The 16,129-nt window shown below is 48.7% G+C and overlaps 2 long non-coding RNA genes across 3 annotated transcripts in view, besides 2 other annotated features; one reads left to right on the plus strand and one right to left on the minus strand.

Moving 5' to 3' along the window:
- LINC02937 (long intergenic non-protein coding RNA 2937) overlaps nucleotides 1–16,129 on the minus strand; it is an 86,180-nt gene that overhangs the window by 68,380 nt on the left and 1,671 nt on the right. The window lies entirely within an intron of this gene.
- LINC00484 (long intergenic non-protein coding RNA 484) overlaps nucleotides 1–16,129 on the plus strand; it is a 63,701-nt gene that overhangs the window by 26,419 nt on the left and 21,153 nt on the right. The window lies entirely within an intron of this gene.
- Nucleotides 1,281–1,848: an enhancer, noted in NCBI's record as "NANOG-H3K4me1 hESC enhancer chr9:93909043-93909610 (GRCh37/hg19 assembly coordinates)". NCBI's record gives its function as "activates a minimal SCP1, AML or CMV promoter by ChIP-STARR-seq in primed H9 embryonic stem cells {active_cell/tissue: H9 hESC(primed)}" and the evidence as "EXISTENCE:reporter gene assay evidence [ECO:0000049][PMID:30033119]".
- Nucleotides 2,256–2,375: an enhancer, noted in NCBI's record as "active region_28583". NCBI's record gives its function as "activates an Ori minimal core promoter by ATAC-STARR-seq in GM12878 lymphoblastoid cells {active_cell/tissue: GM12878}" and the evidence as "EXISTENCE:reporter gene assay evidence [ECO:0000049][PMID:35858748]".

Raw genomic sequence — 16,129 nt, forward strand, 5'->3', positions numbered from 1 at the left:
TGGGGTGGGGTTGGGGTTGACAAGAGAGGTGGTTGCTACCAAGGCAGTAGCAATGATGACATCTGGTGAATAGTTGGATGTGGCACATTAATGGAGATGGAAGAGCCTAGATTTAGGCTTAGGCAACTTGACGGAGAACCCAGGAGGGAAGCAGGATGGCAGAACGGAGATGGGGCCCAGGGTCAGCCCCGGGGGGCATCCAAGGGACACCATGTGGCTGCTGGACCTGCAGGTCTAGCCCTCCTGAGAAAGGCAGGCCTGGGGCAGGAGGAAGATGGAGATCATCAGCTCTCATCACCAGGATCACGAGGCAAAGCAAGGAGCCCTGAGAACCCAGCATTTCAGGAGTAAATGAGAAATAAAAACTTACTGATTGTATGAACTAGGAAGAAGAAACCCAAGAGATAGTGACATCGGAGAAAGTGAAAGAAAAGAGCATCTCAAGGTGCATGATGAAATATGCATTTGGATACAGTATGCACGCACTGCATAGTATGAACATTGATAAGTACAATGATGGAGAAAGCAGGAAAAAAAGCAAGGACAAAAAAACCTTAGCATTAGCCTGGCCAACATGGCGAAACCCTGTCTCTACTAAAAATACAAAACTTAGCTGGGCATGGTGGCACATGCCTGTAATCCCAGCTACTCAGGAGGCTGAGGCAGGAGAATCGCTTGAACCAGGAGGAGGTTGCAGTGAGCTGAGATAGCGCCACTGCACTCCAGCCTCAGGGACAGAGTGAGACTCCATCTCAAAAAAAACAAAAACAAAAAACAAAACAAACAAACAAAAAAACCTTAGCATTATGCACTCTTTCATTAAAATTTATTTTTATTTCATTTTTTAAAATGTCAGTCACATCTTATTAAATTAAGTCCATGACCATTAAGGGGTCCCAATCCACACTGTGGAAAATGCCCCGGCCTGTGCTCAAACCACCAGCTCAGCCTGCGCATACCAAGGGCCTCGCACCCTGGTGCACTGCCCTCACAGTGTGAAACAGCAGATGGGGCAGAGTTCTCTGGCTGGGCCCAATTGGGCAAAAGAAGGGAAGATGCAGAGATGAGAGGCAGAAAGAGGATGTGCCTGAAGCTGAGGGCTCACTTGATTAAGTTGCTTACTTTTCATCTCATACTTCTAGTTGATCTAAAAATCCGCATAGCTAAACGCCACGTAGCTGAGCAGTACTCACTAAACTCCCACTGACTTCCTTACACTGGCTCTGACTATAGGTCACTATAGTAACCAGCACTTAGAGTTGTTTTTCAGGAACTATGGGCAGTACTTGTCCAGTTCAAGCTCATTGAGTCCACCAGCCCTTCAGCTGAACCTGTGTGGGTGTCCAAAGAGTGACCTTTTGACGTCAGAGGGCTAAAATCTCCACCCTTAGATCAGGTTAGTGCCACCCTTTTCTGCATGTGTCCGGTGAAGAACCGTGCAGCCCCACCAGGCTTGCATGAACTCCCATTACCTCCCCCTTCACCTCAAGACCACTTGGGTTTCTAGCCCATAAGTACCCTCACGTCCTATTTTTAGAGAGGCAAATTTGAGACCTGTCCTCCCGCCTCCTCTCTTGACTGCCTCGTGAATAAACTCCTACTCTTTTGCAAAATCCATAAGTCACAGTGATCGGCTTACTGTGACATGCCCACAGGGGCAGCAGCCGTGTAGGAACAGTGACCTGCATGCAGGCTGTGCCCCTAAGTGCAGGGACAGCTCCGTGTTGTCCCTCCTGCTGAGATCCTCAGGTTGTTCTGTTTCACCTGCACCAGTGCCCCTCAAGTGTGCCTGAGCTCATAGCACTTTGCTGCCATGAGGCCCCCCAAATTCACCTGGAGAGCCTGTCCTAACTTCAAATCCTGGGGTGGGTGGTCCCTCTGTCCACAAGAGCCCCGACTTCTTTTACACCTCGGTAGCACCCACCTAGGCCCAGGCACCAGCTCAAGGCTGGGAGAGGAGGCAGCTTTGCCAACCTCACTACAGAAAAAACAAAAACTAACAAAAGAAGCCTGTGTACTCCCTAACCCCAGGCAAAGGCCCCTCCTGAGCATCCATTCATATAGCCACAGGGAAGGCTTAGCTGCTTCTTTGCATCTGCCTTTCTGGGCTGTTTGTTTGTTTGTTTGTTTGTTTGCTTGCTTGCTTGCTTGCTTGCTTGTTTTTAATCTCATTGAGATTTTATGAGGAATTAGCTACAGTCCTCTGCTCTACCAGCTGAGCTATTGAAGGGACATCATTGAGCTTTTAAATGATCCGTAAGAAAGTTTTGGAGAAATTGAAGAGCAGCATGTAAACTTATATACTGGCTAACTTGTTAATGCATTCACACACACACACACACACACACACACACACACACACACATTATGTGGAAATGAGAACAAGCAATTGGGGAACATATTTCAGCAACTCTTCTTCCAGGTACAGAATTGCTCATCATGCAAGAGATGAATCATCAAGAAGCAGAAACTATCACAGTTTTCAGTTAAACTTTCTTGCACTCTCTGCACTCTGCAAAGGTAAATGTGTTCTAAGTTTACATGTGAAAGTATTCATGGGGCTTCTAGGATATGTTTCAGTAAAATAGTAAAAATCTGCTTTCTCTCTCTCCCTCTCTCTCTCTCCTTCTCGGGTTCATTCAGGAAGGAACAACTGATCCAACTAAAAAGAAACTAAGGAGGGCTTCCTGGAGAAAGGGGCACTTAGGTTGAGATTTGGAGAATCATCTTCAAATGGGGGAAGCATTTCAGGCTTTGAGTAAACATGAGAAGATAGGAAGGTTCGGGACTCCTTTGGGAAGACTGAAGAGTCCAGGGGATTATAGAGTAGGGTCTTGCGCAGTGTGTGCTGGGTGGGCAGGAAGATGGTTCAGCTGGAATATAGATGATGCTTCCACTGCAGTCAGTCAGGAGGATCAGGAGGAGCAGTCGGGGGTTTTCCCAAAAGGCAGTAACATGATCCATTGTATTATAGAAACAGGTTCGTGGCTGGAACTAAGGTGGGAGAACCTGAGTTTGGGAAGTCAAGGTTTGTAAAACAGTGCAGACCAGAGTAAAGGGGCTCTGTCTCACCAGGGGATCACCCCAGCAGGAGGGCCCCTGCCTGTGCCTGAAGCCACTCAGCCCTTTAAAAGCTGCCCCTAGGGACACCCCTTTACCAGAGAGGAGAACCAGAACACACAGAAAATAAGGTCCCCATCTGACCCCAGCAAAACATGATGTCCGAAAGACCGTTGCATCTGAGAGTAATTGTCATGTAGCATTTCTGTTTCCTGTATCCGGATACAAAAATAATGAATGAGGGGAAGCAGGCAAAGGAGACAAGCGTTCCCACCACGAAATCCTTGCACTTCAGTCCTTTTGTTAACCTTGGTGGAGTAGCACTCAACAGAAAATAACTAAACTCACCTATTTTTACTTTAGTAGCTATAAAATTTTCATTTCAAATGATAAATTCTGCTCTTTGGTTTAAACACAAAGTTTGCATACACTAATGTTTCCTTAAAATCAAACACCAAAGAGTGACCTTACATCTCTCACTCCCCTGTGCCATGTGTCTCCAAAGATGGCCCCAAGAACCCCAAATCCTTGTAACTGCCCTTCTGCAGTCATCCCTGAAGGGAGTCAGAGCATGCCACCCCAGAATATACCACTTTGGCATAAGGATTATTTTGAGCTGAAGGCAAATGAGAAATAGCAGAAGCAGGAAAATCTCTCTATTATTTCCCACCTGTGTAAAGGAGGGCATAAATTTCCCTTTGTGAAGGGGTCCCCCTCTGCCAGGAAAAGGAGACAATGCTTATCCCTTGACATGATACTGGCTTCAATCTGCATAAACAAACTTACTAAATAAACCTTATCTTCCATTAGTTTTCCCCCACATATTTGACATTCCACGGTTTATCACCACTAGAATTTCAAATCCTTTGTCTTTGCCTTGTCATTTTGCCACAAGTTTACAGTCTTTGTTAAAATGGTATATGAGTTCTCAGTCATAACTCTTTCTTTGGGTTTTCACTTTCTGTAAGATACTTGTTTACATGTAAAAATTTTTTAAAAAATGTTTTTGAGACAGACTCTCACTCTTTGAGATGGAATCTCCCTCTATTGCCCAGGCTGGAGTGCAGTGGTGCAATCTTGGCTCAGTGCAACCTCCGCCTCCTGGGTTCAAGCGATTCACCTGCCTCAGCCTCCCAAGGAGTTGGGATTACAGGCATGTGCCACCACGCCTGGCTAATTTTGTATTATTATTATTATTTTTTTAAGTACAGACGAGGTTTCTCCATGTTGGTCAGGCTAGTCTCGAACTCCTGACCTCAGGTCATCTGCCCACCTTGGCCTCCCAAACTGCTGGGATTACAGGCATGAGCCACCATGCCTGGCTGACTCTCGCTCTTTTGCCCAGGCTTGGAGTGCAGTGGGTGCGATCTCAGCTCACTGCAACCTTCGCCTCCTGGCTTCAAGCGATTCTCCTACCTCAGGGCTTCAAGCGATTCTCCTGCCTCAGCCTGCTGAGTAGCTAGGATTACAGGTGTGCACCACCATGCCCAGCTAATTTTGTATTTTTAGTAGAGACGGGGTTTCGCCATGTTGGCCAGGTTGATCTCAAACTACTGGCCTCAAGTGATCTGCCTGCCTCAGTCTCCCAAAGTGCTGGGATTACAGGCATGAGCCACCATGCCCAGCCCAAAAATTAAGATATTAACATCAAATACAATTTGTATACTTTTTCTCCTGTTAATCTGTCCTTTGTTAGTTTAATTTGCAGGCCACAGTCACTAAACCTAAAAGGGCGGAAGAAACATTCTTTCTTCCCTGCTTTCCAACATTGTGTCTGGACTAAGCCTGAGACCCACTTTAGTCAACAGTGTATCAGGTGACTCTGTGCCTGTTCTGGGCCTAACTTGTAGAGCTTGGCAATGTTTGTTCTTGTGCTCTTGGGAGTCCTGAACCACCATGTAAGACAGGGGTTGGCAAACTATGGCCCATGGGCCAAATCCAGCCCACTGTCTATTTTTGTAAATAAAGCTTTATTGCAGCAGAGCAATGTCCATCTGTTTATGGGCATTTATGGCTACCTTTGCATTACAATGGTAGAGTTGAGTACTTGTGACATAGACTATATGGTCAAAGAGTCTAAAATATTTGGTCTTGTACTGAAAAGTTTGCTGACCCCTGATTTTAAAAGACCATCGACCTGCTGGAGAGACTACATGGAGAAGTCCTGAGGCCACAAGGAGAAAGAGAGAGGCTCAGCTGTCCATGTTCCATTTCCTAGTCCCAGGGCCAGGTGATTCAGCCCTATTACCAGTCATTGCCAATAGGAGAGACCCCAAAGGAGGTCAGCAGAAGAACCATCCTGCTGACCCCAGGCAATCTGAAGAACTGGAATAATAAAATGGTAGCTCTATGCTGCTGCATTTTGGATGGTTTATTACACAGCAGCAGATAATTGGAACCCACTCCCTCCCCACCTCCAAACAAAAATATTGGGCTGTGACTGTGAAGACGAACCAAAAACAAACAAACAAAAAAACAAGCACCATTGAAGATGAGTTACAAAACCATGACTGAATTAGTTCCCAAAGCTGTCTAATAGCACCACGTAACTGCTTGCAGAGTTTTTCTGAAGAAATACCATAACTCATCATGAAACCAGCTATTAAACCACAAAACTTCTGTTTCCTTCACCTTGTACGTCACCCCTACTCTCTGCAACAGTTTGACCGCATTTTAGTTTGTGGGTTTTTGCCTTTTAAATGAATCTTATCATTATGAACACTGAGTACCCAAATAGTCCCCCAGGGCAGGAACTTCTCGTCTCTCTGAACACAGAATGTCCACTTGTGTGTTCTTTCAGATGCAGGGTCTTCTTGCCCTGAATTTCTAGAATGTGTTCTTAAAGAAACATACCTATTATTTCAAAGTATCTCAATTTTTTGAGAGACAAGGAGCACTATGAATCCAGCTCATGGTGTTAATGGCTTTCTCATCATAAATCCATCAGCTATATTAGTTCTTTAGAGAAAGTAAAAATCAGAACAAGGTCTATTTGTCATATTTCCTTAACCACATCTGGAGAGAAGCTTCAAGTGAGTAAATCCAACATATGATTGTGATTCTGGGAGCATCGTTGTTTCTGTTTTCATGAAGTTTTCTCTAAGGAATGAGTTAAGGAATGAGTTAGTTCTTTTGGGGAAAAAAAAATAGTGTGCCTCCCCCCCACTGCCCACCATCTGCACACCCACTCTCGGAAATGTTGCCTGCCCATATTTACCTGCTCACCAAGCTGTTCCCTATTCTAGAAGTTTCCACTCTCCCTTGAGTATAAAAGCTTCAACCCTGGTTCAGTGGGTGGTAGCTGCACCATGGTCTGGGGAAATCAGCACTTTTTCGTGGGTGTTGCTGCCCAGGGACCAAAGGGGACTTGAGGATAATCAAGCCAGCTCTGCAAGTCTCCAACCACACAAGGGGACTGAGCTCCCACCACATCCCTCAACCTCCCGCCGCCATCTTGCTTTCCCACTCCCTGCCTCCCACACAGCTCAGCTGCCTTTTGCTGCCCTTTGCTGCCCTTTACTGCCCCTTGCACTCCCCAGCAAACCTCCTCCATCCTCTCCACTGCGTCTCCTCCCTCCCTTCCTCCCCTCTGTCACCCCAATGGCCCAGGGAGAGCACAGGACAACATGGAGTGAGGAAAGGGAGGAGCTCAGCCAGCTAACCATCCCTGCCCACCACATGTGAATTAGACAGGCTTCTCCAGAGACAGAGCCAACAGGGTATGTACACAGGAAGAAATTTATCTGAGGAATTGGCTCACACAGTTATGGAGGCTGACAAGCCCTGAGATCTGCCATCTGCAAACTGGAGACCCAAGAAAGCCAGTGTTACAATTCACTCCTGTTCCAACAGCCTGAGAACCAGGGGAACAGATGATGTAAATCCCAATCCCAGGGCAGAAGAAGAAGAAATGAGATGTCCCAGCTCAAGCATGGAGGAAAGGGGGGAAGAGAGCAAATTCCTCTGTTCTCTGTCTTTTGTTTTGTGCAGACCCTCAAGGGGTTGGATGAGGCCCACCTACATTGAGAAGGGCATCCGCTTCACTAAGTCTTCTGGTTCAAATGCTAATCCCATCAGAAAACTGTCACAGACACACCCAAATAATGTTTAATCTGAGCACCTACGGTCCACTCAAATTGACTCATAAAATAAGTCATCACATGGGTGAAAGCCTTCCCTGGATGGTGAGTTTTCTGTCTCCCCAACGTGCATGCATGAAGAGCTGTCTGGGTAGATCTGATTCCCATCTTTTACCTACAAACATTTACCCACAACCTTGCCCAAATAACACTGAGCTCCAGGCTGTATGTGTATTATTTCTCATCTTTACAATGGCCCAGAGAGGAGTTCCTGAGTCCTGGAGGGAACTGAGGTAAAAGTGTAACCACTTGATGGGTTCTTCCTGCCCACTGCACGAAATCCATCCACTGAGACCAGGGCATTGCAACAGAGAAAGAGTTTAACTGACGTAAGGCTGGCCCATGCAGGAGAAATGAAGTTATTACTCAAGTATTCGGTGGGCTGGGGGACTAGGGAATGGGTGCTGCTGATTAGCTGGGGAGGAAATCATAAAGGGGTGGAAAACAATCCTTGTGCACTGAGTCCACCTCTGGGTGGAACCACAGGACCAGCTGAGTTATGAGTCAGGGGTCCAGGTGAAGTCAGTCTGAAAAAAATCAGATAAAACCAATCTTAGGTTCTACAATAGTGATGTATCCACAGGAGCAATTGGGGAACGTCACAAATCTTGTGACCTCTGGCCACATGACCCCTGAGCAGTAAGGGATTATAGAAATTATGCCATCATTTAGGCAGAGTTCAGGCCTCTCCCACAATTCTAATCTTGTCATCCTTCATTAGTCTTACAAAGGCGGTTTTTGGTCCCTGAGCAAGGAGGGGGTTAGTTTTATGGAGGGATTTACTTTTACCCTTGCTTTTAAGTTAAACTATAAACTATATTCCTCCTAAAGTTACCTTGGCCCATGCTGCCTTGACCAAGGACAGCTTGGAGGTCAGAAGCAAGATGCAATCAACTAAGTCAGATTTCTCTCACTGTCATAAATTTTGCAAATGCAGTTTCAGAGGGAATGAGTAGGGAAAGGTGGAGGGCCCCTTGTAAGTTATTTGCTGAAGAGCACACAGCTAATGGGTGCAGTTAACACAGGCTTTTGTTGAGACGAAGTCTTGCTCTGTCACCCAGACTGGAGTGCAGTGGTGCGATCTCGGCTCACTGCAACCGCTGCCTCCCGGGTTCAAGCAATTCTCTGCCTCAGCCTCCTGAGTAGTGCCCACCACCACACACAGCTAATTTTTGTATTTTTAGTAAAGATGGGGTTTCATCATCTTGGCAGGCTGGTCTTGAACTCCTGACCTCATGATCCACCCGCCTGGGCCTCCCAAAGTGCTGGGATTACAGGCGTGCGCCAGTGCACCCAGCCTAGGCTTTCCTTTTTTAAAACTCTTTTATTTTATTTACCAATACATATTCATGAAAACAAATCAACCCACACAATAAAGCACCAACAAGAAAGACAAATTAATCACTAAAATTGTAGTACCTCGAAGTACAGTTGACCCTTGAACAATGCAGGGGTTAGGAGCACCAACTCTCATGCAGTCAAAAATCCTCGTATACATTTCGACTCCCCCCAAAACTTTACAGTAATAGCTTGCTGTTGACCAGAGGCCTTACTGATAACATAAATAGCCAATTAACACATATTTCATATGTTATATATGTCATATACTGTATTCTTAAAGTAAAGTAAGCTAGAAAGAAGAAAATATAATTAAGAAAATCATTAAAGAGAAAATATATTTACTATTCACCAAGTGGGGGCGGATCATCATAGAGGTCTTCATCCCTGTCTTCAAGTGGAGTAGGTCGAGGAGGAGGAAGAAGAGGGATTGGTCTCACTGTCCCAGGAATGGCAGAGGTGGAAGAAAATCTGCATATAAGTGGCCCACACAGTTCAAACCTATGTTGTTAAAGGGCCCATTGTGCATCCAGTCCTTGTCTCAAACTGAAGGCTCGGCCTTGTTCTAATGCTATTGTCTCTAAGATATTCCCTTATATATTTACATCACTGCTCCACTGCAACGCACTGCTAAGATGCTTACACCCTGTCTCCGGGGGCTATGGTTGCCCTAGTTGAGGAGGACTCAGTGGCAGAAGGGACAGGAGTTCACCGACAACTGAAGCCCTGTCCCCGGGGTGCTCTCTTGGGTGCTGGTGACTCCCGGCATCCCCTCTTGGGCATATTTTGAGGTCTAGAGAACCATTTTGCCCAATAGTGGCTGTCAGATAAGGTCTGTTTGGCAGATGCCTGCAGAGCTGTGTGCCTGCCAACAGACATCCCCTGGCTTCCATCCCACCCTTCCCACTATGAGGAGTCAGAGTTGGTGTTTGGCTGACCACAAGGAACCCAGGCAGAAAAGTCCCCTAAGCCTACTGCAGCTCTGTGGTGTGGCTGAGTGGGATGCTCAGCAGGTGTTTGGGGAGAAGGGAAGGTGGACACCCTGAAGGCCTCTGACCCTACCTGAGGCCAAGGATGGGTGAAAAAGTGTAGCATGAATGGCAGCTGGGAGAGCACAGAGCCCAGGGTCTACCCTGACTTCAGGGGGCCTCAGCCAGTCAGACTTTGAATAACACCAGCTACACTGGGGCCCCAATTTCTGTGGCCCCCTCCCATGACAAACAAGGCCCATTGGTCAGGACGAACCAGATCTGATGCAGGAACAAGTGGCCTGCCAATCTCAGGGGCTCTGCCCATCACAGTCACTTAGCACCTCAGTACCTCAGCACTTCTCCACTTGTGGGCTGGTTGGGCTTCCTTGCAGCATGGTGGCCATGCTCGATCAGGGCAGTCAGACTGCTTCCACGGTGGCCCAGGAGTATTCCAGAGAGCCAGCAGGAAGCTGTCACCTCTTCATGACCTGGCCTTGAAAGTTACGTAGCATCACTCCACCGTAACTTTGGTGGACAGGCCACTAAGTCAGGCCCAGAATCAAGGGGACCAACACTGACTCCACTTCTCGGTGGGTGGAGCTGTAAAGCCACCTCACAGGACTGTCATGTTATTTATGAGCTAATATCTGTAAAGTGCTGAGAACCATTCCTCACAGTAATGCAATTTATACAAGTGTTTCTTAAAGAAAGCATACTGCTCATGGATTTGAAAATCATGTCTCAGTAAGCTAACTCCCTGTTTGATATCCAGAACATTCCTGCATCACCCAGTGGGGGAAGCACCAAATCCTGTTGCTCTTTCACTGCCATGCAAGTGCCTGGCCATGGAAGTTGGAGTCAGAATCCTTGTCACACCTTCCAAAAGTTTCACCAGAGGTTCAGAGAATCCAGAGAGGGCTGGATCTCCACCCTTCCAGGGAGAGGGAACAAACAGTGGGCTTCAGCAGCCTGACTCAGGAGCAAATTCCTAGATGACTCTACCTGGAACATGGCACACTGGGGCTCAGGGCTGTGAAACTCAGAGCAAAAACAAGGCCAGTGTTGACTGAGGCTCTCACCCTCCACTGCACGTTCAAACCATCTGGAGACCCTCAGATGGCTCCACACCTGGCCTCTCCCCAGGCAGAGCTCTGAAGTGGGACCTGGGCTTCAGAATTCTGAAACCTCCCAAGCGATTTCAAGACACACCAAAGCCTAAAAGTAACTGAAATGATGGGTTTCCGACGCTCCTGTGCTTGCGAGTCACTTGGGGACCTTGTTAAGATACAGACTCTCACTCAGTGGGGCCGGCTGAAATTCTGCATTGCTAGCAATCTCCTGGCAATGTTCATGCCTCTGGTCTGTGGACCACGCTTTGAGTAGCAGAAAAATAGAGCAGCATTTCTTAGTCTTGTCTTGTCTTTTTAACTCTATGCTTCCCACTGATTAATGTACAAATCCCATGCCTTCTTTTAATATTATTTGAAAACTGCACAGTAAATTAAATATTGCAACTAAAACCAAGTGTTAATTTGAGGGGACAAAATTCTGCATTGTTTGCACAACTCACTTCTGGGCCTTCCCATCCCACCAACACCTACAATCTGGGAAAACACCCTGTTGCAAAAACAACTGGAGGTGGCACCCATCCGGCTTCACCCAGGTTTCCACCGGCTCCTTCACCCGGCACCTAAAGGACTCACCACCCACCCCCTATTGGGGTCTTGCTTCACCCATCAACAAGCAAGATAATGTCAGGTGGCCTCGAAGGGCCTTTCCAATATCACTAGGGACTTTTGATCTTAAATCATCTTTTAATCTTTTCCATCCCATGGATCCTCGGCCTCCTCTGTGACTTCCAGGAAAGAAGCAGGCCTCCAAAAGCATTTTCTACCACAGGCACTTGTGCCTAGGGACTTTCCTGACAAGGACATGAACAGGCACATCAGGGTTGGTGACCACACCATAAGATGCTGGCAGGAACAAGGCCTAGGCCAAGGGTTGAGGAAACTATCTATAAGGGCTAGATGGCCTCTCAGGCTCTGCTGTGAGCTCACCACTATTCGGCTCCACCCCTGAAGCACAAAGAGCCACAGATGGTGTGTGAACAAAGGGTGTGACTGCGTTCCAGTAATATTCACTTCACAAAAACAAGCGTTGGGCCGGATTTGGCCCACAGGCTGTAGTTACCGGAGAGCAGTGCTTCTCAAACTTTAATAGCACAGAGATCACTCAGGGATCTAGTTAAAATACAGATTCTGAGAACATGGATTTGAGTGCAGCACTGTCCAACAGAAATATGATGGGGCCAGGCAAGGTGGCTCATTCCTGTACTCCCAACACTTTGGGAAGCTGAGGCAGGAGGATCACTTGAGCCCAGGAGTTCAAGACCACTTGAAGCAATATAGTGAGACCCTGTCTCTATTAAAAAAATAAAAGTTAAAAAAATTGACCGATCAGGGCAGATCACCTGAAATCAGGAGTTCAAGACCAGACTGGCCAACATGGTGAAACCACGTCTCTACTAAAATAAAAAAATTTGCCAGGCATGATGATAGGTGCCTGTAATCCCAACTACATGGGAGGCTGAGGCAGGAGAATCGCTTGAACCTGGGAGACGGTGGTTGCAGTGAGCCAAGATCACACCACTGCACTCCAGCCTGGGCAGCTGAGCGAGACTCCATCGCAAAAAAAAAAAAATTAGCTGAGTGTGGTACCACACGCCTGAAGTCCCAGCTACTTGGGAGGGTGAGGTGGGAGGATCACTGGAGCCCAGGAGGTCAAGGCTGCAGTGAGCTAAGATTGCACCACTGCACTCCAGCCTGGGTGACAGAGCAAGACCCTGTCTCAAAAAATAAAGAAATATAATGGGAGTCACATATGAAGTTTAAAATTTCCTGGTAGAGACTTTAAGTTAAAAAAAAAGTGAAATTAATATTAATAAGATACTTTATTTAATCGAATATACCCAAAAGAGTATGCTTTCATCATGTGGCACTAACCACATTTCCAGTGGCCATAGTCATGGTTACACAGGATCAAGCCTGAAAGCCTGCATTTCAGACAAGCTCCCAGGTGACAAGAATGCTGCCAGTCCAGGGACCTCACTTTGTAGGAAGGGCCCAAAGAATGCTATCTTCTACCTGGGCTGGTGAGACAGCTGTGGAGCTTCCACACAATTTTCTACAGGACACTTGGCAAACTGAATATGTATCCTAAGATAGGAATGCTTGAAGTCACATCTTAGGGAACATCCAGCTCATTGATACCATCCTTGTGCGTGATTATCAAGTAATCTTTCTCAAACACTCTCACCAGGTATTTTACACAAAGCCCAGTAAATGGGGGCCCTGTCTCCTCCATATCACACAAAGGAAATGACATGTGTGGATAAGGAATGACAGGACAAGTGTGTGCTGGCGCCATCCACGGCCTTTACACTGGCCTCTCCAAGAAGTTCACAGTTCCATGAGCGAGGCTTAGGAATTCCCATTTTACGGAGGAGGAACCAATCTCCAAGCTTAAGAAGCTGCAGCTAGAAATGAGCAACCCTGTGCCTGAGGCCCAAGTCCATCCATTTCCAAAAGGCTAGGCTCATAATCCAAGGAGTGCAGCATACAAGATGCCGCCAGGCATGAGTCACAGACATTTCTATTTCAATATTTTTAATAGAACATCTCCAGTTTATCAAACTCGTGATATGTCACAGACAAAATTGCTTACCTTAAGCTGAGGATTATTTTAAGAATCTGTTTCAATTTTATTTATTTTTTAAGCCAAGAATTTCCAGTTTTTATTTCTATAACATGACTTAACAAGAAAAACATTCCCCCAATTTTTTAAAAATTAGGTTGGATTAATTTACAATATATGAATCAACTTAAAATATCAGCCCTTTTATTTAGAGCCAAGGATGCTATTTTAACAGCAGAATTGCACCATTGATACTTTTACCTATATTTGATGGCACAGATATGCAAAAGTCATACGACTTCCACTGACACCCTCTCCTCCCTCCAGAGTAGCATTCACGTAATTTATCTTAGGTCAGTTACAAGTTATATGTAAGAAATGGTTAAGTGGGCTGGGCATGGTTGGTGGCCCATGCTTGTAATCCCAGCACTTTGGGAGGCCTGGTGGGGGGTGTTAGGTGGGGGGAATCGCTTTGAGCCTAGGAGGTCAAGGCTGCAGTGAGCTATGATTGCCCCACTGCACTCCAGCCTGGGCACCAGCATGAGACCCTGTCTATAAAAGGGAAGGGGAAGGGGTGGGGCAGGGGAAGGGAGAGGAAGAAAGGAAGGAGAGAAAGAAAAGGGAGAAAGAGAGGGAAAGAAGAAGGGAGGGAGGGAGGAAAGAAGGAAAAAAGGAAGGAAGGAAAGAAAGAGAGGAGGGAAGGAGGGAGGGAGGGAGGAGAGAGGAAAGAGAGAAAGAGGAGCGAAGGAGGGAGGAAGGAAGGAAGGAGAGAGAGGAAAGAGAAAGAGGAGGGAAGGAGGGAGGAAGGGAGGGAAGGAAGGAAAGAGAGGAAAGAGGGGAGGAACGGAAGGAGGGAAAGAGGGAAGGAAGGAGGGAGGGAAGGAGGGAGGGAGGAAGGAAGGAAGGAAGGAAGCTAAGCAATATAACCCTGTGGCAACATTTGTAAAAGTGACTCTGAGAAGACAGAAAGATCCTCTATGAGAGACTGGTGTCCCCAGGAATTGGCGAGGCCTGCTGAGGATCATTTGGGTAAATGTCATGGTCACGCGGCCCCATTCTCTTCGCTGAGCTCCGGATTTCCGTAGCCAATTGTCTGCTGGACATTCCTCCCTGATACATCTCACAGGTAACCCGCTCCAAAGTCAATTTTAGGGCCCTCCTCCCCACTGCGTCCGTCCTCCTGCTCTCCTGGCCTCTGGAATGGTCCCCGCCCAGCCAGTTTCTGACACCAGACGCTGTCCTGGGCCTCGCCCCGCCTTCCCACCCCCACCCAAACGCGCGTACTCTCGGCCTGGCCTGCGTAAGCCCGGCCCGCACCCGCCCTGCCGGGCTCCTGCTCCATTGCTGCCCCAGCCCACGTCCCTCACGGCTAGACCCTGAGTCTGTCACCCGTTGGCAGCGCCCAGAATGGGCCAAGCACCCTCCCCGCCCCTCTCCAGGGTGCTGCTGGCCTCGCTTCCGCGGCCCCTCCCGCGAGGCCTACCCCCACCCCCACCCCGCGGCGCCCCTTGGTTCTCCTTCCTGGCCCCTGGCCCCCACTTTACATCCTGATTTGTAACCCCGCAGTGACTAACATAGCTCCCACCTCCTGGCCTGTTCACGGGGGTCCCCAGGGGTGCGCGGACCGTGCGGGGGTCCCCGCGGCCAACCCAGCGCCAGAAGCGCAGGGAGCACGTGGCAAACGGTGGGGGGAACAATCAAGACGGACCCAAAGCGGTTGCAGCAGAGAGGGAGGCATCCAATCCCGTCCACCAGCCCCCAAAGGCCGTCGTCCTGCCTGGAGAACCTAGCAGTGCTAGGCAAGGTTCACTAGTAAAGAAAAATATCTGACCGGCTCCAGCTCCAGCCCAAGCTGCTGGTCGGGGCGAGAGGCCTGGGGACCTGTCCAGGGCAGGAGCCCCCGCACTGCGGGGGAATCCTCCTACTACTGCACGGGGTGGAGGGGGCGGGCCGGGGGGGAACATGCAGGCCCTGGAGCCCCACTCAGAAGACGCCTGAGCAGAGGCGCCTCGGCTCTACCCAGCTCAGCCCCCGCCCCCGCACTGCACATCCCCTCTGTGGGCTTCCATCCTTCCTCCCCTTCCCCCCCACCACCCAAACTGCCCCCAGGGCTCTGCTGAGGCTTCCCTGCTGTCTGGGCAGGGGCTGTTGGTTCCTCAGGAGCACGCCGTGAGATGAGCACCCAGGGAGTGACGAAGGGGGCTCCAGGGGATACTGGGGAGGGCGAGTCAGAGCAGGGCCCAGAGGGGAGCAGCAGGCAGGGCACAATTTCGGGCCAGTTCCGGGGCAGGGTGGGTGGAGCCCAACCCCTAGGGGAACTCGGATCCTAATGACACCCTCAAGTCTGCCCGTCTGCCCGGGCTTCTTACTCCCACTCTGGTCCTCTTGGCCAAAGGCATGAGGCCGGGAGGACGGCGATGAGGATCAAAACCCCTGGGTCCTTCCTGCCTCTGCGCCTGCCAGCAAAACAGCTCCATGAGTCCAAGGGCAGCTCAAGGGCAGCTCAAGGGCAGGCCACGGGAGCCACAGGTCCTGGCCATACAGCAAAAACATACGGAAGCCAGGGCAGTGCAGACACAGCAACAGGACAGAGGGGCCTGGCTGGAGCGCCAATGCCAGGGGTCTCTCAAGGCCCGCAACACGGTGTCCTTCTTGGACTAGAGTCTCAGTTAAATAACAAAGAGGGGATCTGATGACGTCCACGTGGGCTTCTCCCTGCCTTTGGTGGCGCCCCGGCCCTCCTGTGCGTCCTCCTGGCCCTGCTCAGATCCTAGGAGCCATCACACACTCAACATCCCCAGGCAGCACCAGCACCAAAGCCCCTCATTCCATAGCCCTCTAACACCTGGCTCAGAGTGAGCTCAGCTTCTTTTCTTCACACATGTCTTCATGGCAGCAAGGGAATCAAAAACTCTCCTCCTGGCCACC

The sequence above is a fragment of the Homo sapiens genome, chromosome 9 (assembly GCF_000001405.40).
Source record: "Homo sapiens chromosome 9, GRCh38.p14 Primary Assembly".
NCBI lineage: Eukaryota > Metazoa > Chordata > Mammalia > Primates > Hominidae > Homo > Homo sapiens.